General features: G+C 41.1%; 1 protein-coding gene across 51 annotated transcripts in view; it reads left to right on the forward strand.

Moving 5' to 3' along the window:
* The window catches only part of TLE4 (TLE family member 4, transcriptional corepressor), a 154,918-nt gene that overhangs the window by 125,981 nt on the left and 5,548 nt on the right, over positions 1-23,389 (forward strand). For 18 of the 51 annotated variants that reach the window (NR_104239.2, NM_001282760.2, XM_006717268.2 and 15 more), the window contains 8 exons: positions 6,838-6,957; positions 7,944-7,997; positions 8,802-8,954; positions 10,173-10,305; positions 10,648-10,841; positions 11,678-11,754; positions 20,777-21,026; positions 22,101-22,348. Coding sequence is in view for 50 of the 51 variants with exons in the window: in NM_001282760.2 (NP_001269689.1) it covers positions 6,838-6,957; positions 7,944-7,997; positions 8,802-8,954; positions 10,173-10,305; positions 10,648-10,841; positions 11,678-11,754; positions 20,777-21,026; positions 22,101-22,348 (1,229 nt within the window). In the remaining variant the exon portion in view is untranslated. Of the gene's footprint in view, positions 1-6,837; positions 6,958-7,943; positions 7,998-8,801; positions 8,955-9,172; positions 9,274-10,172; positions 10,306-10,647; positions 10,842-11,677; positions 11,755-17,367; positions 19,194-20,051; positions 20,127-20,776; positions 21,027-21,627; positions 21,780-22,100; positions 22,349-23,389 lie in introns of those variants that run through there. The other 33 variants (XM_011518952.2, XM_011518956.2, XM_011518957.2 and 30 more) reach the window with 10 other exon arrangements.

Here is a 23,389-nt window from a genome sequence, read left to right on the forward strand (position 1 = left end):
GTTTCTGTACTTAGTGGGTTAAATACTTGTTGAATGAGTCCATAAGCAGACAAAAAATATGCGGTTGTTTCCACATTTGCCAAAAGGGAATAGCTGTCTATGGGGGCTTACTAGTACTAGATGCTAGGTTGAATTCTTCTTTATCCTTATGGCAACTTACAAGGAAGTGCTGCTAACACCCTCGTCTTACCTACTGGAGAAATGGAAGCTTAAAGAGGTTCATGAATTTTCCCAAGGTCACATAGCAAGTGTTACAGCCTGGTCTTGAACCCAAGGCTGTCTGACTTTTATACCTGTAGCATAACCATTGTAGACACTGCCTCTCTTCTGTTATTCTTCTGACTGTTGGTTCCTCTGGTTTGATAATATTTTGATTACCTGCAAAAGAAATTTACCTTGATCCAGGTTTCTCTTACCAGTAGAGAAGCAGAGACAAAAACAATAGAACATTTTAAAGAATATATTGTTCATGAAATGTTACAGAAGGTGAAACATTTGTTAAGAATAGATTCATTACTTTATATGGAGATTATATTAAATCTTCTTTTAACAAGGGCAGGGCTTTAGAAAGTCCCAGTCATTTTTGAAGGTGAGTTTTGATTTATGTTAATTTGAAAAAAGCAAGTTCTGTGAGAGTTTTATACAGATTGTGCTTTTAATGACTTCCTTAATCAAGCAGGTTATAAAAAAGAAAAACCTCTTACTGTGATGAGCAGTAAACTGACACCAGTGACTGGCTCAGTCAGAGCTCTACTATATTCAAGTTTTTTACCACCAGCATGCTATAAATTTTAAGTTCATTTACATAAATTTACATGTGTTATGTGTTAGTATGTGAGACTTGTGCATTTTGACCAAGTAATTTTCATTTTAAAGGTTTTATATTTACTTTTTTCCAATTGAGGATTATTTCTTATATATATATACATATATATATATATATGTATATCCTGGTGGTTTCCCTGTAAATGAGATAATAATATGTTAAAATGTTTTATCAGTTATAAAGAGCTCAATGAATGGGAAAATAAACATTTTGTGTAATTCTGTACAATAAAATCCAAGCAGAACTAGCTGGGTTATGGTACAACAGTAGTTTGATGTACGTAGGTTTATTCAGGATATTACTTTCCAAACTTACTCAAAGTAGTTCCAAAAAAACAGAAATACAGTGCTTTGTGGTCTGGTGAACATGATCAACTCTTTGGATGATTCATGACTATAGAGTCACCAGTGTTCATTTTTATTTTTGACATGGGTCTTTTGCTTTTCTAAGGGGTTGCAGAGGAAAATATGATTGAGGACTTTGGTTATGGCATCAGTAAAGGATCTACAGGGGCCTTCTTCAGCTTTCTGTCTTCTGTGCCTCCACCCCTGTCCCCATCACCAAAAACAAACTCAACTTGAATCGTCCCTGACTCTGATTAATGTTTGAGAATTCCTATAGTGACTGAACTATAGTTAAGAGTAACTATAATTTATCGTCTAAACTTGGCCATTTTTGAGAGTGAAGGGAAGTCTGGACAACAGGTGTAGAAAGGGCAAACCAGGACTTGCAATTACCCTTGACATATTTTAGTGGTACCTTCTGACTCCTCATTATCCCATTTATCTGTTTGAAAACTGATTTACCCTTTTGTACCGTGTGGATACGATTTTTGAAGGCCATAGCTGATGAGCAAACAAGCCATAACGAATGAGTTTTAGGCTGCTTGATCATGGTTTCCATGCGACCTTTAGCATGTTCTTTCTGGTTGTTATCGTCTATGGGCAGGGAAGTCTAAGCACTGCACCTGTGTGAATGGAAAGCAAAATTGGCATGGTGTGCATTTGAAATCAAATTAGAAAGTCCATTGTGGAGATGGTATTTGCAGTCTTGCCTCTGTGCAGTATTGAACCAAAACCTTATCGTGATTGTTGAAAGGAGAAAAGTTTTGGTGAATAGTAGCATATTAAAACCCTATAATTATGGGGCATCAGAATATCTATGCTGGGGGAAGTCCTACACAAATGTCTAGAAAAGACCTAACATAAGGTTTAAAATAGAAGATCCACACTAGGTCACCATCCCAATCTCTAAAGTAAGTAGAATCAACTGGAGTCCAGTATACAGTGATAGGACTAAGTTGCACTGTTGAGGGGCTAGGCTATGTGCCTGGGACTGCGCGTTGTACTTTATGTGGATTATTTTTCTTGGTCTTCAAAGCAGCCCGTGGGGCTGAGAATGGTGTGTTGTTACCCCAGACTAAAGAGAGGCTGAGACTAAGCAACATCCCTTACGGCTATTAAGTGAAGACTCTAGACTCACACCAGGCAGTCTGACTCCAGAGAGATGCTCTTGCCTGCTATTAAAATCTGTGCTCCCTGTTATTAAAATTAGCTAATTATAACAACAGCATCTTCTTTTGGAGGGGGAAGTTACTTTATAGAAGTCTTTCTCATACATTGTCATCTTTGATCTTGAGGTGGCAGAGGAGTAAAGGTGGAGGGGTGGGGCCTTCCCTTTCAAGTTGCTGGAGGTGTCAGTTTTCCATCTGACTTGGTCAACAGCCCTAGTAAAGTCTGGGATGGTCTTTAATCTAGGAACTAGAATCTTCTCATAGTGAAATTAGAACCTGATTATAGCTTTTTAAAGCTTACCTTTTGCTACCAAAGCAATTGGGGTTTCCATGTAATAAGTCTTTTAATCCTTTAGTATTTTTTTCTTGGTTTCTCCTTGTTTTCCTGCTCTTTTTCTTAAACAGATCTACCCTGTTCTTTTTAAATATCCCAGCATAAGTGTTTACTTTTAAAATCCAGAGCTTTACTAAACATTCACATTCAGGGTATTTTGCTTTCTCTGGATCAGCCATTGCTTGTGACCGTGACTCTCCAATCATAACAGATTTGCTGAGATACACACACACATACACACACACACGCACACTCAAACTGTAGTGAGAAAGACTTGTGTTTAATCCTTCTAAATTTGTAGATTTATAGGGTCACAATGCAGCTTCAGTAAGTTTCTTATGTAGTAAACTTGAGAAATATCTAAATTGAGCTTTTAAAATAATAATAGAGAAATAAAAAATAATAAAATAAAAAGCTTTTCTAGTAAAAGCATGACTTTATCGGTATTTATTTAATTCCTCTTATTCACATGCCTAGCAAAGATCCAAGTGGCATTCCTGTGGCAGAATGGTGGACTTACAAGATTCATGATGAGAGTCTGTGCCAAGTCCAATTTGATTCCAGAGTAATTATGTTATTAGAACATTGCTGATTGCCCCAGTGCCCACTGTGCAGCTTAACCTTTAAATGCTAGTGATAATTAACTACTTTATCATTCTACCAAGAAACTCCAACATGTAACTCTGTTCTACAGTCAACTTCAAAAATACAACGCTGCCTGCAAAACCGGAAACAGCTAGCTTAAGAAAAATATAAAGTATTTGGTTGTACATATGAGCCAATAAATGAACATAAAATCTAAATCTAAATAGGCATTACCTTTTAGTATTTTTAAGAAATTGTTTTGTTTAGAAATTTTTCCTCTTAAACAATGTGGAAATAACTTTCAATAGAATATAGCAGAATCAGAGAATTGTTAATAAAAGATATATATACTCCATTTTTCTTCTTTTTGTAAAATATGAAATTAGCCAGATTTAGTGCATCTAAAGGTAAGTAAAGGAGCAAAGGTGAGGAAGGGGCTGAATTGCCATATTACCGATTCCAAGGGCACCACAACACAAATCTTACTCTAGTGAATGGTCTCCCATGGAATTGTTCATCCTAGTGATGCTCAGAAAAGGAATGTATCATAAGAGATTTGGAGTGAGATTGAGGCGTGCAGAGGGGATGTTCAGCCATTTGTGTTGAGAAATATTTCTGGGCAGTTCCCTTCTGCTCATGATGCTAGGTGCCCCACCCTCAGGGAACCCACAGCCTAAAGTGGGAAGTGGCCTTGTAAACACAGCAATAAATTTGTTGTGAGTGCTTTACTCATTGGAGGAACAAAATGTTAAGGGAACAAAGAGGAATGAATGATTAATTCTGCCTGACAGCATCTGAGGAAGCTTTGAAAGGTGACATTAGAGCTGATTCTTAAGGATAGTGGGGGATTTCAAAAGATAGATCTTGAGAAAATAGTCATTGCCATAAGCCAGGAAAAAAGGCTACAGGTGCAACGAAAATACACAGAGCCCAGGGGAACACTGGCTTATAGTGCTGATGTAGGATACAAGGCCAGGACTCTGGATTGGGGTGTGGAGTGAGGACTTTGGAAAACAGCCATACTCAGAAATTTGGAATTTTTTTCCCCCTGTGAACAGTAGGAAACTGTCCTTTTAAAAGAGGAGTTAAAACAGGCTGAACCTCTCTTTGGGAAGTATGAATTCCAGAAGTGAGGTGGATAGACTGGAGAGGGGAAAACTAGAAACGGGATTGAGGCATGAAGTATGGTAGATAGTAACCCACAGATGATGATTGCATGCATGGTTTCAGTGGTCATGAAAACCTACTGAGTGCATTGGGTTGTGTGAAAGCAAAGCAGAAGTGTTGACCCAAGTCTCATGGCTTGGGAGTGAGGTTTGGAACTCAGCAGAGATACACAAAAGTCAAGAAGTAGTCCACTTTAAAAAATCGTTTGGCTCGTAATGTTTTGTGTCAATCTTCAGCCTTACTGAATAATGCCTGCAGTCTTTTCTGCCACTAAGTTTAAGGCTGAACGTTTGATAGGTCTAGGGCTAGAGTATTCATATAAAACCTCAAGAGGGGCTGGCACAGCAGGGACGGATTTAGAGGTCCCCAGCCCGCCCAGTGGGCACCCACTCACTGGTCCCATCTCTCTCCCCCACCAAACTCCCACCTGCACATCTTTGGAGCTTGTAATAAAGAGTTGCCATCACCACAGGTATGAAGAAAGACCATCAATCTTCTTAACAATGTGCTTTGGAAGTTCAGAAATGCCACAAAAGAGATTGTGACATTAAGGCTCAGTGGAAATAAAATGGAACATAGACCCAAAAGTTCTGGGTAACACACTTTCTCTCATAGTTAATTAAAAGGGCCTCGTAAATGTTGTATGTTTTTATAAACATCAGTTATTACCAACAGACTAAGATAAAGCAAAAAAAAAAACCCGTTCAAAGAGTTAGTCTTATATGAAATAAATTTATAAATGAGGAAGAGCTTTCCTGACCAGTTTTCTGAATTGATTTGCATGCCAGACAGAGACGTTCCAGTGGTGATTGTTCTTCCTATAACTTTTTTTCCATAGAGATTTTCAGATATTCTTTCTACTACTCTCCAAGATCAGCCCTTTGTTACCCTGGGTTAGGGTCATTCACACTTGGGAGCCCTGCCCTGGTGCCCTGCCAAGGGACTGTGTTACTCAGGTTTTTGCCATTCACCACTCAGCAGCATAGCGCAGCCCTCAGTCCAGCTCCCGCTCTCCCACCTCACCTGCATTTAGATCTTTTCTTTGGTCTGTCTGAAGCTTAGTCACTAGGCAGTTGTTAAGATTGTTCCAGTTTTCATTGGCACTTTTTTCACTTCTTCATCCATGATTTTAAGCTCTCATATTATCTAAATGTGCCCAATAACCACCTGACCTTCATGGCAGATAGAGTCATTCTCTGCTTCAGGTCTTGTCACCCACGTCTCTTGTGTGTATAGGAGACTTCTCCAGTTGAGAGCTCCTTGAAAGCAGAGGTGAAGCATACAGGCTGAGCCTAAGTGTGGTCCCAAGAGGCATGGAGCATCTTTCTCCATTCCCTGGCCCCAGTGGCATTCCTAGGTTTCCAGACATTGAAAGGTGTGGGTTCATGAAAACTATAGGAGTGAGAAAGGAATAATACGCATTTCTGCAGGTGGTGTTTTTCCTGCCACTCTGTATCTTCCAGGCCCTAACATATGGCGCTGAGCAAAACTTCATAAATATGACCTATATGTCACATGACTGCCATCTTTGGTTGCTCAAATCCCCCAAAATTACTTTCCCCCCTTTTTTTTTCATTGACTTACTAATTACCTCTTAAAAGCTCTACTTTATAGTTTTTCTATAGAAGCTTGAAATGCTGGCTTCCCATTAGCCAGCAAACTTTAAAAACAAAACAAAACAAACAAACAAAAAAACCTGGCTTTTTCTCCTTCCCTTTTTTCTCATATATGCTTCCTTTCCCAACTTTCTTTCTTTTTTTTGAGACAGAGTTTCACTCTGTCGCCCAGGCTGGAATGCAGTGGCGCCATCTTGGCTCACTGCAGCATCTGCCTCCCGGGTTCAAGCAGTTCTCCTGCCTCAGCCTCCTGAGTAGCTGGGACTGCAGGCACGCCACCATGCCCAGCTAATTTGTTTTGTCTTTTTAGTGGAGATGGGGTTTCACCATGTTGGCCAGGATGGTCTCGACCTCCTGACCTTGTGATCTGCCCGCCTTGGCTTCCCAAAGTACTGGGATTACAGGTGTGAATCACCATGCCCAGCCCCTTTCCCAAGTTTCTAAAGGCACTTCAACAGTACAATATATCCGTAAAACCAAACCCATTCTGTTTTGAGTTTACACTAATTCCTGCCACCCTTTTTATTTCCTCTCCTCCCTCTGTCCCATCTCTCTGCCTCTTCTCGTTTTTTCTTTCTTTCCCATTATCTTTCCCCCTTGTCTTTTGCTACTTGTCTTTCCCTTTATATCCCTGTTTTCTTCCTTTCGTCTCCTCCGCTTTCTCCTATCTCCTCTTAACAGCTTTGCAAGTATATGCTAAAGAATAAAAAGAAAAGAAAGTCTCAAGTGACTTAAAAATCACTCGGCTAAATAGATGATAATTTCTCAACCATGCTTCCTCTCCTTCTAATTCCAGAGCTCTTCAGTATCCCCATCAGCCAGTTTCCGAGGTGCTGAGAAGCACAGAAACTCCGCAGACTACTCCTCAGAGAGCAAAAAGCAGAAAACTGAAGAAAAGGAAATTGCAGCTCGTTATGTAAGTTCATTCACCTTTGTGTTAGGGGAGGCCAGCTTGCCTTTTTATCTGCAGCCATTTTACCCTTTGACTATTACCAGCCAACACAGGAACACAGGATAACATCCTTTAGGAGACAAAAAACATTTATTGTATTTATAGCTCTGTAGCCATTGGCTAGCTGAAGTCCTGTGTGTGTACAGATGCATGTGAGGATAGAATGCTTCATTGGGCAGCTAACAGAAGACCTGGATGATCCATATTATTGTTTCTATAGGTGTATTTGCTTCCCCATTCATTTCAGAGTGGTTGGATTTTCTGTGGTTAGCTGGAATTGTTAAGCAGAAAAATATAAAATCATAAAAAATGTGTTTAAATGCCTAGATGGATTCATGTGCTGAAGGATATACCAAATGTTGTGGAATAAAACATGGAGAGACATCCAAGATCATCCCTAGCCTGGAATGAAGCTCATTTTCCTTTAGTGGCTGGGCAGGTCACAGGAGTGAGATGGGGGAGCAAGCTGGATGGAGCAGTGTGGAGGCAGGCGGCCCCTGCTCTGCTTCCCTGCTGGTGTCCTACAGGGCCGCAGGCCTCATGAAAAGCTGGAAATCTGGATTTTTACCTCCCAATATGCAGTTTTTTAAAATACCAACAAACCAGACCACACCTATCTGTAGGCCGGATTTAGCCTGGGCCTGTCAGTTTGCAGCCTCTACTCTAGAGTAATAAGCCAACCATCAGCTTCAAGTTTGTAACTGAAAAATGTAATCAGGTCACCCTCTTGGTGCAGTGGGTAGTGCATCAGTCTCATAATCTGAAAAATATATTACCCACCTCCATAGCATCATCATGAGGATTAAAGAAAATAGGACATTGTCAAGTATTTAACACTGTTTGGTACAGCTCATCTTTATAAGATATGAGGAATTAGTCTGGACTTACTTAGGGTAAATGTGGTATGTTTTGTGAGGGGAGAAGATAATGCTTCTCACTTGTCAATGCAGGACAGCGATGGTGAGAAAAGTGATGACAACTTGGTGGTTGACGTTTCCAATGAGGTATGTTTGTGGCTACTTTAATTTTTTGCACTTGCCCAGCCATATCAAAGACTAGTTGCCCAAACAATTAGTATCCAAAATATCTTGAGGTTTGTCGTTTTGTTATTGTTGTTGTTTTTTGAGGCAGGGTCTTGTTCTCTTGCCCTGGCTAGAGTACAGTATTGTGACCACAGTTCACTGCAGCCTTGAACTCCTACGCTAAAGTGATTCTCCCTGTTCAGCCTCCCGAGTAGCTGGAACTACAGGCACGTGCCACCACGCTTGGCTCATATTTAAATTTTTTGTGGAGATGGGGTCTCATTATGTTACCTAGGCTGGGCTCAAACTCCTGGGCTAGGATTACAGGTGTGAGCCACTGCACCTGGCCCAAAACATATTCTTGATTTCTAAAGGGACCCACTTTTTATTTACATAAAAATTATGTACTACTGATTTTATATGTTATTGATCTTTTTTTTTTTCATTGTTCTTATTCTATTAAGAATAAGGTGTCATTCTCTACTGCAGTGAAGGCACACCAGATCTCTGTGGTCAGCCTGCAGGTCTCATTGACGTGCAATTTGCAGATGGGTGGGGTTTTGATTTTTCTTTGGGTTTTAAATAAGTACTATAAATACTATAATTTTGGGGCCCTCAATACTGAATATTTTCGTTAGTAGTTTCAGTGAGTATTGTTATCTGTTCTAGCACATTTGTGCTTCTAAGCATGCATTAAATGCTTTTGGCTAGAAATGTCCACACCCAACAACCCCAGCATTATAAATGTGCTGTGCTTGCATTACTGTCCACGATGTTCCTTTGTAGGATCCATCTTCCCCTCGAGGGAGCCCAGCACATTCCCCCAGAGAGAATGGCCTAGACAAGACACGCCTGCTCAAGAAAGATGCCCCGATTAGTCCAGCCTCTATTGCATCTTCCAGCAGTACTCCCTCCTCCAAATCCAAAGAACTTAGCCTTGTAAGCAGCTCCTTACCATCTCTCTGAGTGTGGCCTCTGCCAATTTGATGTTTGAATTTGATGTTTTTATCTTTATATTTCTCACATTTTTAACAGGACTTTTATTTCCAAATGTATATATGTTCGGTATTTAAGTTTAATTGGCAAAAGTATGTAGAGCAGAATAAGTTTACTAACTTGTTGGTGATGAGTGTTTATTTTATGATTCTTTTTGCAAGGATAGAAGAGGGATATGGGGAAATTGAGTGAAACACGTCTTAGCGAAGATGAACAATGCACATTGGGGTTACAGAGATGGTTTTGTCGCCTGTGGTTTATGGTAAATTTAGTTTGGGGCTTGAATGTGATTTTGTTGCTAGCTTTGTTTGAATTACCAAGCTACATATGACGGCAATAATTTTCCCTTCCTATCTAAAAAGTAATCTCTCATTTACAAAAGTCTATCTTGACTTACATCACAAATCACAAATGCAAAAATGAACTGCTCACCCATCAGGATAATCTCCCTGCACCCTATTCTTCTGTGGCTGTGTAGTTAATTGCAACTTTGTGTGGTGTGTCTTTTTTCCTCACCAGTTATTTCCTTGTAACATAACATTTAAAAAAAGAATAAAAAGACAAATTCAGTTTTCTAATAACCTCTGGAATTCACAGCTAAAGGAAAGGAAATTCCTCACTTGGTCTGCAAATTAGGGGGGATAAGTGCGACGGGCTAGATTGTTGGTGTTGTTTTTTTAAATTTTATTTTCTCTTGGCCTTCTGGCCTTCTTTTAATGGCACCTGCTCTCTGCTTAGTCTCTATGACAATTCAAGCTTGGATGTGTTTTCTAATGTGACCTGTTCACCAGGAAGCCTCTTGTGACATGAACAATCTGCCAGGAGCCCACAGTTACCCCAGTCTTTACCAAAGTCACCAGCAAGTGGCCACAGTTAGGACATCCTGGTTTGTGAGCCTCATCTGACTCAGACCAATTTCCTAGAAATGAGCTGCTCTCCTCTAAATTCAGCTTCAGTTTATGTCTTCCCAAATATTAGGTCTGCTGTCTCAAGGAACTCTTTTGTTTCTTTGTTAACTTTTCTATTAAAGAAAATCAAGGCCCAAGCTGAAGAACCTCTTCCATTTCTTTTCCTCCTTTCCTTTTCTTTACCTTTTTACTGTTTAACGTCATTGTTAAAACCATGTTCTAATTGCTGGTATATGTCATTTCATCTTGTTAGAATGAAAAATCTACTACTCCCGTCTCAAAGTCCAATACCCCTACTCCACGAACTGATGCGCCCACCCCAGGCAGTAACTCTACTCCCGGATTGAGGCCTGTACCTGGAAAACCACCAGGAGTTGACCCTTTGGGTTAGTAAGAAAAAAGTTTTTTCTATATTTTTATGCTCGTTTTTAAGAATTTAAAGCAATTTAAGGAGTACAGTACATTAAAAGTGCTAATGACCAGCATTGAATGGCTGTTAGACAAAGTTACTTAACCTGAACCGAGCACCTGGGACCAACCTTGTCTGGCACATGGTAAGTGTTCAATAGAACAAAGTGAATGAGTGAATTCTGAAGGCTTGAATGACTTTTGAGAATATTAAAATAAGCTCATTTGAACCATAGATTCTATTTTGTGACATGTTTACAAATGTCTTCACTGTTGTTTCCTGTGTTCTTCATTTTTCTTCCATCCATTTTGGTTTGCAGCCTCAAGCCTAAGGACCCCAATGGCAGTACCTTGTCCATATCCAACTCCATTTGGGATTGTGCCCCATGCTGGAATGAACGGAGAGCTGACCAGCCCCGGAGCGGCCTACGCTGGGCTCCACAACATCTCCCCTCAGATGAGCGCAGCTGCTGCCGCCGCCGCTGCTGCTGCTGCCTATGGGAGATCACCAGTGGTGCGTTTGTGAGCTTCACAAATAATATTTTAGCACACGGAGGATTGTCATGCTTGATTGATTGCGACAGGGTCTCGCTCTGTCACCCAGCCTGGAGTGCAGTGGCATGATCTTGGCTCACTGCAGCCTCTGCCTCCTGGGCTTAAGCGATCCTCCCACCTCAGCCTCTCAAGTAGCTCGAAAAAACAGCATGCGCCACCATGCCCAGCTAATTTTTAAAATTTTCTGTAGAGGCAGGGTTTCACCATGTTGCCCAGTCTGGTCTCGAACTCCTGGCCTCATATGATCTGCCTGCCACAGCCTCCCAAATTGCTAGGATTACAAGCATGAGTCACCATGCCTGGCCTATCTATTTTTTAATGTAATTTATATAATCTAAGGTATTTAGAGATCTGTGGGTATTTATAAGTTAAGCTACATGTGATTATAATCTTGAGGTCCATTTTCTTTTGTAAGGTGAAGAAGTTTCTTTTTTATTTTATATGTCTTTTTAAAAGAATACTAATTTTAAATTTTCCAAAATGATACTAATTTTGGAAACTTCAAACCTACAGAATTAGATCACATAGTATAATGAATGTAATGACTCTTTGGTTCTACCATGAGCTTCAATAATCATTAGTATAATTTTTTAATCTGTGTTCCACCCCCAAGTATGTTACCATTAAATCCTAAACATTGGTTATCATTTCACCAATAAATACTTCTGTATATATCTCTAAAACCTTATTTTTAAAGGATCTATTCTCCCAGGTTTTAGAATAGATTTTGAGAAGGATAAAACAAGTCAAATGTAACTGTGCTTATTTCTGTTGTTTGCTTGGGAAAAATTCTAGGTGGGATTTGATCCACACCATCACATGCGTGTGCCAGCAATACCTCCAAACCTGACAGGCATTCCAGGAGGAAAACCGTGAGTACCTTTTTGCCTCTGTGCTCATTGTGTGTCAAACTCAGGTCCCTTGCTGGCCCCGTAGACTTAGAATACCACTAGACAGTGTTGGGGGAGTTCCCATGACTTGTATTTTTTTACCTTGCAAGGTATTTTTCATTTTCTCTTAGCACAAGAAGAGAAGTAATGAAGTGGGGTTTTGCATTGTAAAATTTTGAGCTTTAATATGTAAATGCAAATTGCAGAGGCATCTCCAGTAGTCAGGTCTTCTCTACATCTGTTGCAGATTTCAAGGCAATTCTTTGTTCCAAAAGTCTGATTATTATGTGCAAACCTGAATGTTCAAAATTTGAATATGTTGGGAAAAGACATGCCAAACCTCAAAGGCTGAAAGGAAATAAGGGCACTCTTATGCTTAGTTCTGTTTTCAGAAAAGGTGACTTGCTTAGTTGGCTTCTTATACCGTGCTCTGGGCATCTGGAGCCTCTGTATTCACAGATTCCTTGAGTTAGGAAAGACAAAACACAACACACCAGTTGTTCTAGCCTTCTCTGAACGGATCTCATTCCAAATACTTTATTTTAATCTAATGCACCTTTTTATTACTACCTAATCACAGTTGTCTCTGCTAATTGGCTTCATCTTCCCAGAAACAAAGATTTTACTATAAAGTAGCACTGGCTGTTTCTTTAAAATCCCAGCTGGCTGCTTTCTCTCGCTTCTCCTTTGGGAAGCCTCCCCCGCAGATCCTCCTTGCCTTGTTAGTCACCTGTGTGTGTGCATTTTTCTCATCACTCTTTCTGTGGGCATCCCCTCTGTCACTACACATGCCGTGTATGTGCTGCCTCCCCAGTCTCCAGGGCTATCCAGACCTGACCCTCAGTAGCAGCTCAAGGCGCCTTCTCCCAGAGGCTTCCCTGGTAGCTTGCCTGCCTTGAGGTATTTTGTCCTTACTGTCCTTCTTCCTGCAAAACTTTCTGTGGCTTAGTGTCTCATTTAGTTATCTAAGATGTCATTATGTCAGAGCGTTCTGCCCTGACAACCCTATTATCCCTCTTTCCCTTCCTCCCTATTCTTTCCTCTTCTACTACCTTTTTAATGCTTTTTTATAGCCATTATCTGCCTCTCCCTCTTGACTATAAGTTCCATGAAAACAGAACAGAACTTTCTGCTATTCAGTTATAGAAGCAGTCTCACTGCCTAGAATGGTACCTGGTTCATAGTGGTGCTCACGGTATGGATTTATTCAGGGAATGGATATGTGCTGATTTCTTTCTTCTCGGACCTCCCATTGCTTGTTTATTCACTCCCACACACTCGGGCACTTAGTTTTCACCCTGGTGTTAATTGCGTGCCCTCTTCTCCCCACATCCCTTCAGTGTTGCCTAACCTAGACCCTTTCTTTACTTTCCATCTGAGGAATCCAAATCTCAGTTCTTCCTTTTGTAGCATATTAATACTTCTCTACAGACTCTATCCTAACCTTCCTTTGTTGTATCAAGCACAGTGCTGGCTCCACAGCCAAGTTGCTTGGTAAATATTTGGCTGATTAATAGGGGAGAAAAGACAAATTAGAGTTCCTCAAGAGTTGAAGGTATAAATATCAATTACCATAAAATTCTGTGTACCTGTGTGTGTTTTGCAAATAGTTGTTGACTAACAAGTCTTATTGACCAAGAAACTTTGATGTATTTGAAGGTGAAAGTTGGGTCTATTTCAAGCAATGCTAAATAACAAGGTTATACAATTAATCAAATAATGACTCAGATACCTACAAGTTCCATATGAACTTGTGGGGAAAGTGGAAGGGTTCCTTTAGGGAAGAAGTACTATCCCTTTTTTTTGGTTACTTCTTAGGTAACCAACAGTTGTACCCAGAGCTACAGCATAACCACTAGAGCAAATGAGATGATGCTTCTTGCCTCAGCTGCTGCTTCGAGGGGCAAGGGGTGTAAGTGTCTTTAAGGAAACACCTTGGCTAAGGGATTTGGACCAGTTAAACCACTGTGGAATCACAGCTGCTCTGACTCAGATGGTGCTTCTGAGTCTTGGGCTGACTTCCCTTCATCAGTTTTAACTTTCGATGTTATAAAATGTTTAAATGTTTAAGATCCTTTAGGGTGGGTTAATGGATTGGAGGATTGTTGAGAATTTTTGTTTATGAGAGTGACAGAGTCACATCTACTGCAGTTGGCAAATGACACTTTACCAGGAAAATGACACTACTAAAAAGCATGTGGTGCAGTCAACAGAGTATGGTTTTGGGAGTGTGACAGATCCAAGTTTGAATTTAGACTCTGCCAGTTGAACCACTGAGAAGAGTGGCTTTATGCACAATTTCTTTGTGAGCTTCAATCAGCTCATTCATGAATCAGGGATGGCCCCTCCTCAACAAGAAGGATGTGAAGATAGGAAGTAAGATAATATGTTGTGTGTTCATTCAGTGCCACATTTGTTACATGGTGGCTGTTTAGTCAACCCCAGCATTATTTCCCTTTCAGCTTTGTCCCAGCATATTATTCATTTTTCAGCTACTTATGTAGTAGGAGGTACATTGTGTTTTAGGGGCAGAAGTGACCCAAGAAGATGGGTCATTGGTGTGTCTTTATGTAACAGAGCATGAAGACGTATAAAGTTACATTCACTTATATGCATACAGAGATAATATACTTTTATTATAGATTTTTACAGCAGAAATGAATATAACAGTTATGTGGCTCTCCAGATCATAAGATACTGAATTGTGCAATGTTGTCTTGTGCATATTTTTCAAGACAAAACTTTTTTAAGTGTGCTAGAAAATAAAATAAAAAATCACCTAAAGTCTTCCTCCACCATACATACCCACAATGTAACTACCTTTCTCCAGAAAGACTTATAAAAGTTATGTGTCTCTGTTCTAATTATTTCACACAATGAATTGCTAGATATGATCAGAAATTATAATTAAATGCATGTTCCAAATTAATAAAATGGTGTTTATTGTATAATTCACATTGAATCCTCTTGTCTGCTCAGGTGAATTAGCAGAGGTTCTACTTCATATGTAGTTGGAATAACAGCATAGTTTAATTTCAACATAAGCCAAAAATGGCCCTTCTCCTTCACCTGCTACTCAAATGAGACTTCTATGGCTAGTGTATAACTATTTGATTAACATCACGGTACTAATTGTATGAGATGTGACATGTGAACACAGCAAAAATAAAAGATCTCACGTTAGTGGATTATAGGCTGCTCACAATTCAGAAATCTGACTCTTTTGCATTGATTTATTTTTATAAAGCAAGATTTTCAAATGAGAATAATGCCTGATACATAGTAAAAACCTTCAACGAGTATTTGTTGGCTAACTCACTGGTCTGTATGCTACTTAGAACAGAATTTTCTATCGTATTTCAATGTAAAATACAATAACCAGACCTCTCATTGTGACCTCAAGGTCGAAGCCCATCTTGTGACACATTGGAAATGTGGAGAAGGTACTGTGCGCGTGAGAGATGAGCACAGCATAACAGAACTGGGCCTCAGAGAGGAGAATGAGGGGAAGGTGGGAAAGCCAGTGACCTTCTTTAAATATGCTGGGTCTTTGTCAAGATGATAATCCATATATAACAAGTTTGACACACATGTTTTTAAAAAAGCAAATTGCATGTGTCTGGATTGTTTAAAGTGTAGTTATGTCAGAGAGTCCAAGCCTAGCATTTTCTTCAACTGTCTCTTATTCTCATCGCCATGTTTGTTGGAGAGCCACTCTGCTCGTAGCAGCTTAACCTGTGGTGTGTGTGTTCGTGTTGAGAGGAGGTCAGGTCACTCTATTTCTCTGACTCCCTGCACCCTCTCCCTCCAGCCCTGTATTTCTAGTTATTTGTTGGGCATCTTAGCTAGGGATCTTGGGTGTATGTTACTTGCACCACAAATTCATTATATTCAGAAAGTACTTTTGTAAATTAGGTCCTCTTCCCAGTTTGCCCTTTTTTTGTTAACTACAAGTACCATGTTTCTTTTTTCCTGAGCTCAGAAACTCAGTTACTCTAGCTCCTCCTCAGATCTCGTCAATTTAGTCCTACAGGATTTTATATCCATTGTACCTTCTAACTTGTCATCCTTGCCCTTGCCTGGTTCAGGACCCCCAGTACCTCTTACTTAAATTGTTGGAATAATTGTTGTTGTTTGTTGTTGTTGTTGTTGTTGTTGTTGTTTGAGAGAGAGTCTCGGTCTGTCACCCACGCTGGAGTGTAGTGGCTCAATCTCAGCTCACTGCAACCTCTGCCTCCTGGGTTCAAATGATTCACATGCCTCGGCCTCCCAAGTAGCTGGGATTACAGGCACATGCGCCACCACACCTGGCTAATTTTTATGTATTTTTAGTAGACATGAGGTTTCACTGACTGGTCTCCGAACTCCTGACCTCAAGTGATCCATTCCCCTCGGCCTCCCAAAGTGCTGGGATTACAGGCCTGAGCTACCGCGCCCAACAGGAATAATTGTTTTTAATTCCTCCTGTCCATCCTACTCCTTGCTACCAAGTTTATTTTATGAATAGCTTTGCCCAGTAATGGCACACTCCCTTTATCCCTCAAAAATCTCTTCAGTCAATTCTGGGAAGGTCTCAGGCTGGCATTCTGGTCCTTCCCTTTTATAGCATTACATTGATTTTAATTATATAGAGATATAGATCTGGTATGTTTTTTCAGACTATGCTTGGCCAGTTCCTCCATCCACCTACTGTGTAGTTATTATTGAATGAATTCCTGGATTAAAACCAATTCAAGGATTTCCCAGCTCATTTTACCTCATCCTTTTGGAACTTTTGCTCTCTGCTATTCTTGCTATCTGGAATATTTTTTCCATCTTTCTCTTTACTCGATGGTATCTTTTCATTCTTTAAAAACCCATCTCTATTACCATGTCTGTCTCTCATCCAACATAAACTTTCTTTCCTTTTCAAAACACTTCAGAATACTTTCCATTAGAATGTGACCTGATATTGTCATTTCTGTACTTTTCTCTCATCATGCTAACTAGATTGTTAGTCACTTGTGGGCAAGACCAGGTGCATTACCTAGTTTTGTATCCTTAGCATGACGTTTGCGTCAGAGTATATGGATGGGAGGTACTTAACACATTGTGCATTAAATTAGTTAGAAACAGAGTAGCCCTTTGCGCCTCGGTTTCTCTGATTCCTAGCAATGTTGACTTCCCTCATACCTTCCAGGAGTATTTGCTAGTTACAGTCAAAGAGTTTATCGAAATCTGATAATAAGTATGTACTAGAGCTTTATTATTTCCAGTTCTGAGTGCCTTCTATGTATACTAATAGCAAACAGAGGGCCACATTAATGTCATTAATGAAAGCAGGCTCTTGGAATTCATTTGGACTCTTTGAAAGGACTCTTGCCAGGAACATAGTAGGTGCTCACAGAGTGGTTGTTGTTGAGGTGAAGGCTGTCCTGTTGAAGGCCTTGAAGGAAATTGTGTGCCTGGTTTCTTAACTATTTGAAATCTCAGTGCTCTTTAATAACCATTTAGTGATTCTAGACTAGAGAATGAGATGGCTTTTCTAATAAATTATCATTAAGAATGTATAACACCATCTAAACTTGGAATAATCTTTCTTTCTCTTCCTTTAAGATTTAGTCTTCATGACCTCCTAATTGCTAAATCAATTAGCCTTTTTCTCGGCCATCATCCCTCAGAACCTCAGCCTTTCACAAGCGTTACTGCCACCTTCTCCTTGTCTGAACTGAAATCTGGCCGTCTCCTGAGATCATCCCTTCACTTGCAGCCCTATACAGGGTGACCTTTCCATTTCATTCACTGACCTCAGCACCAGCGGTGGGGTTAATAACAGCTGTGGTTGCCACCCCTTCTCCAGCCTCTCCATGAACAGAACTTTTCTACCTGTTGGTGAAAACCTTGCTCCTTTCAGGCTCGTGCCATTGGACTACCCCCTCTTCCACCTTGTTGGGAGTATTTCCCCAGTGTATTAAAGACTTGATACATGGCTGAGAGTCTTCCACTACCCAGAGGCTGCCATAATCCTGGTTGACTCTGGTATCTACAAAGACAACCCCCCAGTATCTTCATCATGGTCTTGGACCCCCTCATCTCTAGTGAACATCTGCCCTCCTCACCTTCAGTTACCTGTATTTACAGGTTCACAAAGAAGAGCTTATCATCACCCCTGTGTCACCTCCAGATTCTAAGCGTCCCATCCAGTACAACCTACTGTGGCTCCAGTCAGCCAGAGTGCTCCACGTTCTATTTCCAACTTACCACTATCTCCCAGGCTCTAGCCACTGCTTCTCCTCTAGATTACTGTGTAGTCCCCAGACTAGTTGTCTTTCGTTTTGCCACCTACACTCCATTCTTCACCCAGCAATCAGAAGATCATTTGAAGACGTTAACTGAATCATGTCACTTTTTTTGCACAAGTCTCCAGAATCATATCTGTACTCATCACAGCCTATATGGCCCTTTTTAGTTTGGCCTTGCCTGTCCCTTCACTCTTATATCCTATATGCTCTCCACCGAATGCACTCTGGCCTCCTTGCTTCGTTCTGGTCTCAAGGCCTTTGCATTTGTTGTTCCCTCTGCCTGGCACGTTCCCCATTACTTATTTGTAAGGCCTGTGTCATTCCTTCAGCTCTCCGCGCATATGCTGCCTCTTCAGAGAGGGCCACCTGACTGCCACTGTGTGCTCCCCTACTCTCTTTTATCTGAAAATGTGTGTGTATATTTAATGGTATTTTCCACTGTCTGAGGTGTTTATCAGGTATTTATGTTTATCTGTTACCTGTTTTCCTCTCTAGGATGTAGACTAGTGGAAGGATAGGGACTTTGTCAGTATTGTTCACCTGATTCCCCAGCACCTGATGGTAACTGGAACATACGAGGCATTTAGGAAGTATTTGCTGAATAAATGAATAATTAGCACGCTTTCTTGCTCTGGCCTTCGAATTTGCCATATTCCTAATCATCATACTGTCTTCAGACAATTCGTACCCATTCTTTATGTTGCAGCCCTATTGCCATTTTCTCTGTCCTTTTCACTCTGTTAAATTCCTAGACTACCATGCATTGTTCACTGCACTGACCATCTGACATTTTGATAGTTACTTATGTGCATATCTCACTAATGAATGTGCCCCTCAGGCTGTAATTTCAGGAGAACAAGGTGTGTGCATTTCTTTCTTATTCCATTCTTACCATAATGCTTGGCACACTGGCATACTCAAGAAATATGTGTTAAGTGAATGAATCTTAGTAAATTGTCATGTGATTGAACATCTTCTCCCCCTTTCTATTTTATTATCTCTGCTAATAATCTACTTCCATAACTACTCTGGCCGGAGATTCCTTAAATGTCCACATTCTTTGGGATTCTGTATCTGGTCTGCTTTTCACTGCATAATCTGCTCTGGGATTCTTCTTTCCGTCCCCTTAGCTTCAGCCATCACTTCTTTATGGATGATATCTAACCTGACCTCTCTCCTGAATCACAGCTGTTTGGATTTCTGCCCTGAAGTTCAAGAAAACCAATTCCTTCACCTCCCCATAGGTGTACCCTTGAGTTATGCTTTCCTGTCATCTTTACTAGGTAATGCAGTCTACCTAGTCACCCAGGTTCTTAGCCCTAGGGTCCTCTTCAGCATCTCTCTCTCAGGTCACACATCCAGTGTATCTCCAAGTCCTGTTGATTTGATGCAAGAAATGTCTTCTGTCCATTGGCTTCCTAGCTTCCCACCTCCTTCCCCTCCAGCAAGTCTCACATACTATGTTCTTCTACAACGCTCTGTAGTCTGTGGAGGAAGTAAAAGCCCGCCACTGTCTAGTGCCCTCATCTTCCACAGCCACAATGCATGCGTCATTTTTTCTGGGAGCATTCAGGTAGTTGAGGACCATTCAATAATGGACTGAATTTTGATGAACATGGCCAGCCTGTAAATTTTTGCATTAAGGAACGATAAACTGTTTTAATTTAATTCTACAACTTCCGCAGTTTGGTCCAGCTTCCTGTCCTTTACGCACCCACAATGCTTTCCCTTGGTATGTCTTTTGTAAACTATTTTCTGTAAGCAGAGCAGATTCCCAAGCTCCGTGCCCAAGTAGAGTAGCATCTTTTCCAAAATGGGCTGTTGCCTATGATAGTCCCCAAGATAGGCCCAGCTGCCTCCTGCCTGCCACTGGCGTCTTCTGCTTCCAGAAACCTAACATGCGTCACAACAGCCTCACTCGTCCCTTCCTGACTTCAGTGCCCTAAAAATAAAAATGAGTCTGTTGGGGGAGACGCTCTTACTTAAGTTGCATTTTAGGACCAAATGCTTTTACCACCTGAGGGCTTTCCCTGGAAATGAACTGGAGATGGAACTGCCAAGAGATACTCACAGGTAGGCCTTTGGGGCTGTCAGGATGCCTTTTTAGGTTCTCATTCCATTTGGATTGACTAGGATTTGTGATTGTCAAGTCTGATCAAGGTTTTAAAATAGGGCTTTATCTTTTTTTTTTTGGCACATCTGTCATTTCAACGTCTAAGCCTAGAGGCTCTTAACTCCTTAAAGCTTCCTGATTTTGGCCTACTCATCTCCCTTAGTAAGTCCCTTGCCGGGAATGAATTGATCTATAGGCGAGGTCTCATCACAGGCCTCTGATTCATCCAAAGGAGAAGGCAATGCAGGTTTATAGGGCATCCCTGAAAGGTGGCTACTGCACTTGACGGTGGTTATCTCATTTAATTCTGTGAGGTATAGGTAGTGTTCTCTTCATTTTAGAGACTAGAACTGCTGTTCTAGTTTAGAGATTCTAAGTAACTACTGATGTCCCACAGCAGCTTGTACAGAGTCAGCCTGAGATCTGGCCCTGTAGCAGCCTAGCTGTATGATTCTGGAAATTATGTTCTTTACACTGTATGGACAAATTCGATTTGTTCGTAAATCACAAGTGGCACTGAAGGTGTTTTATTTCTCATCTCATTACACTGAACAGTTAAGTGACATTTTTTTACATTCCCCTCTTTCTTTTTTCCTCTCCATTGCCTTAGAGCATACTCCTTCCATGTTAGCGCAGATGGTCAGATGCAGCCTGTCCCTTTTCCACCCGACGCCCTCATCGGACCTGGAATCCCCCGGCATGCTCGCCAGATCAACACCCTCAACCACGGGGAGGTGGTGTGCGCGGTGACCATCAGCAACCCCACGAGACACGTGTACACGGGTGGGAAGGGCTGCGTCAAGGTCTGGGACATCAGCCACCCAGGCAATAAGAGTCCTGTCTCCCAGCTCGACTGTCTGGTGAGTGAACATGGATGAACAAGACTTAGACTTTCATTCAGAAAACAGGAGGGGCTGATGAGAGAACTGTATGTATGAGCAACACCACACAGTATTGATCCCAGGTGGATAGTTGCTCTTCAGGGGACTGCGATCTTTCACTTGGAGGTGTGTCTTTTGCTTCCTAGACACACAGTGATCTAGTTCTTCATGTGTGGCATGTGCACCATACTGATTTCATTAACTCTGCCTCCCATGGGAAAAGGCAAACCGCTTGTTTTCCTCTCTGATGGTTAAGCAAACTAAGAGCCCATACAGTGACTATGAGTGTGCACCTAAATATCATCTGTCACATGTAAAGAGTAACTTACTGCCTCATGTGGCAAATACTAGATAGCCCCTCAGCTGCTTCATTGGCCTTTTCCCTTGAGTTCCTTAGGAAATGTCAGTTTAGTAGAATTTTTGCTATAGCATGAGGCTACATCAGTTGAACATAATTAAATATACATAAGATTCCCGTAACCTCATGAGCTAGGAGGAACTTTTTTTTTCTGTAACTTAACACTCCATGATCAAGTCTTGCCTCTGGTGCAGCTTTCATCAAATGCATGATGCCCTTTAGTCACGTAATGCAGGCCCAGGCAAAAGGAACAGACTGCCAGGGATCTACCCCCTGAAACTTTCTTGACATCAGTAGCAGGACCTTTCAACAGCAGAACTGAGCCTGAGTCTACCAAGGTTCCAAGTTTGGATACTCCAAGACTGTGAGAGCTCCTGCATTAGTGTACGTGTGTATCTGTGTGTGCAAATGATGCAAGCAGTTGGTTAATTTGGTGGTGGTGGGAGTGGGTCTAGAGCTTTGCATTTTGATGCTAATTAAGATTAAATATCTCAGTACTACATTTTGTAGATCAACTTTAAGTACTTCCCTAATTTCATGTAATTTTCTAGCATTAATCCACTTTATCATTGTCATAAGTATAAACGGCTCATTAAACCAGGAGGGAACACAATACTTTTATGGATTTCTGCTCTCATGTTAATGCTGTTTTCCTTTCCTCATGAGTAATCTCTTGATGGTTTTTGTCTCTACAGAACAGGGATAACTACATCCGTTCCTGCAGATTGCTCCCTGATGGTCGCACCCTAATTGTTGGAGGGGAAGCCAGTACTTTGTCCATTTGGGACCTGGCGGCTCCAACCCCACGCATCAAGGCAGAGCTGACATCCTCGGCCCCCGCCTGCTATGCCCTGGCCATCAGCCCCGATTCCAAGGTCTGCTTCTCATGCTGCAGCGACGGCAACATCGCTGTGTGGGATCTGCACAACCAGACCTTGGTGAGGTAGGTTAGCAGGATCTGTTACCAGGTTGTGAGGAGGAGCCGATTTTACCATATTTTGCCAAAGTGCTGTGTATATAGGTATGGGTGTGTGTGTGTGTGTGTGTGTGTGTGTGTGTGTGTGTGTGTGTGTGTAAAGTGATATAATTATCTTACTAAAAATTGTTCAGAACAGGTCCATTTTAAGATGTTAAAAATAAATTATCAGTGTGAAAATCTTGTTTTCTGTAGTACTTGAACTTCATAAAATGAGGTCTTTTTTCCTTCCTTGACTTATACTAAAGCATCGCCAATTTGTTTTAATAAAATGAGGTCAATTTGACATAATTAATGTACATAAAGTTTCCATGACCCCATGAGCTCCATGGACATCTGTAATTTGCCATCTGTGCTTGCTAACAAACGATTATTGTTGATAGAGCCTCACTGAGAAGATTCACAGTGTATGGTACTGTCTTGAGTGCCATACACATCTAACAGGTTCATTCCTTCAGCAGATATTTAGCAACTCCCATGGGCCTATGCACTGTATTGGGTGCAACTCACTCTGAAATGGTCTAGATTATCTGTTGTCCCACCTTTGAGGTTGGATAGATATAACTTTACAAATGAGATTATAAAAGATTGGTGTTGGTAGATGGGAAAAGCTCTGAAATGATTTTCTAGGTGTCAATACCCTAAGAGATTAGCAAGCAAGTAGAATGATCAGCTACAGGTATGAAAAGGTTGTAACCAGAGGTAGCTACAAGTCAGGTGTGTAAAAGAAGAAGGCTTTACTATCTGTTATTTCAAAGTACTGAAACCTATAGATCCCAAAACAAATCATCACTTTCATTGCTTATCAGGCAGCCTCTTATGAGAAGCTGCTTCTAACCCTGTTTTCTCCTGGTGACCTTGGTACGTTTTGCCATGAGTGATTCCTGGGCCAGTAGTTCACACTGAGTGTCTTTCCAGGTGCCTTACTTGAGAGCCTCGCCTTCCGTCTTGCACAGCCACCCACAGACACATTGCTGCTCACTGGCAGGACTGGTCCTGTCGCTCCCT

The sequence above is a fragment of the Homo sapiens genome, chromosome 9 (assembly GCF_000001405.40).
Source record: "Homo sapiens chromosome 9, GRCh38.p14 Primary Assembly".
In the NCBI taxonomy this organism is placed as follows: Eukaryota; Metazoa; Chordata; class Mammalia; order Primates; family Hominidae; genus Homo; species Homo sapiens.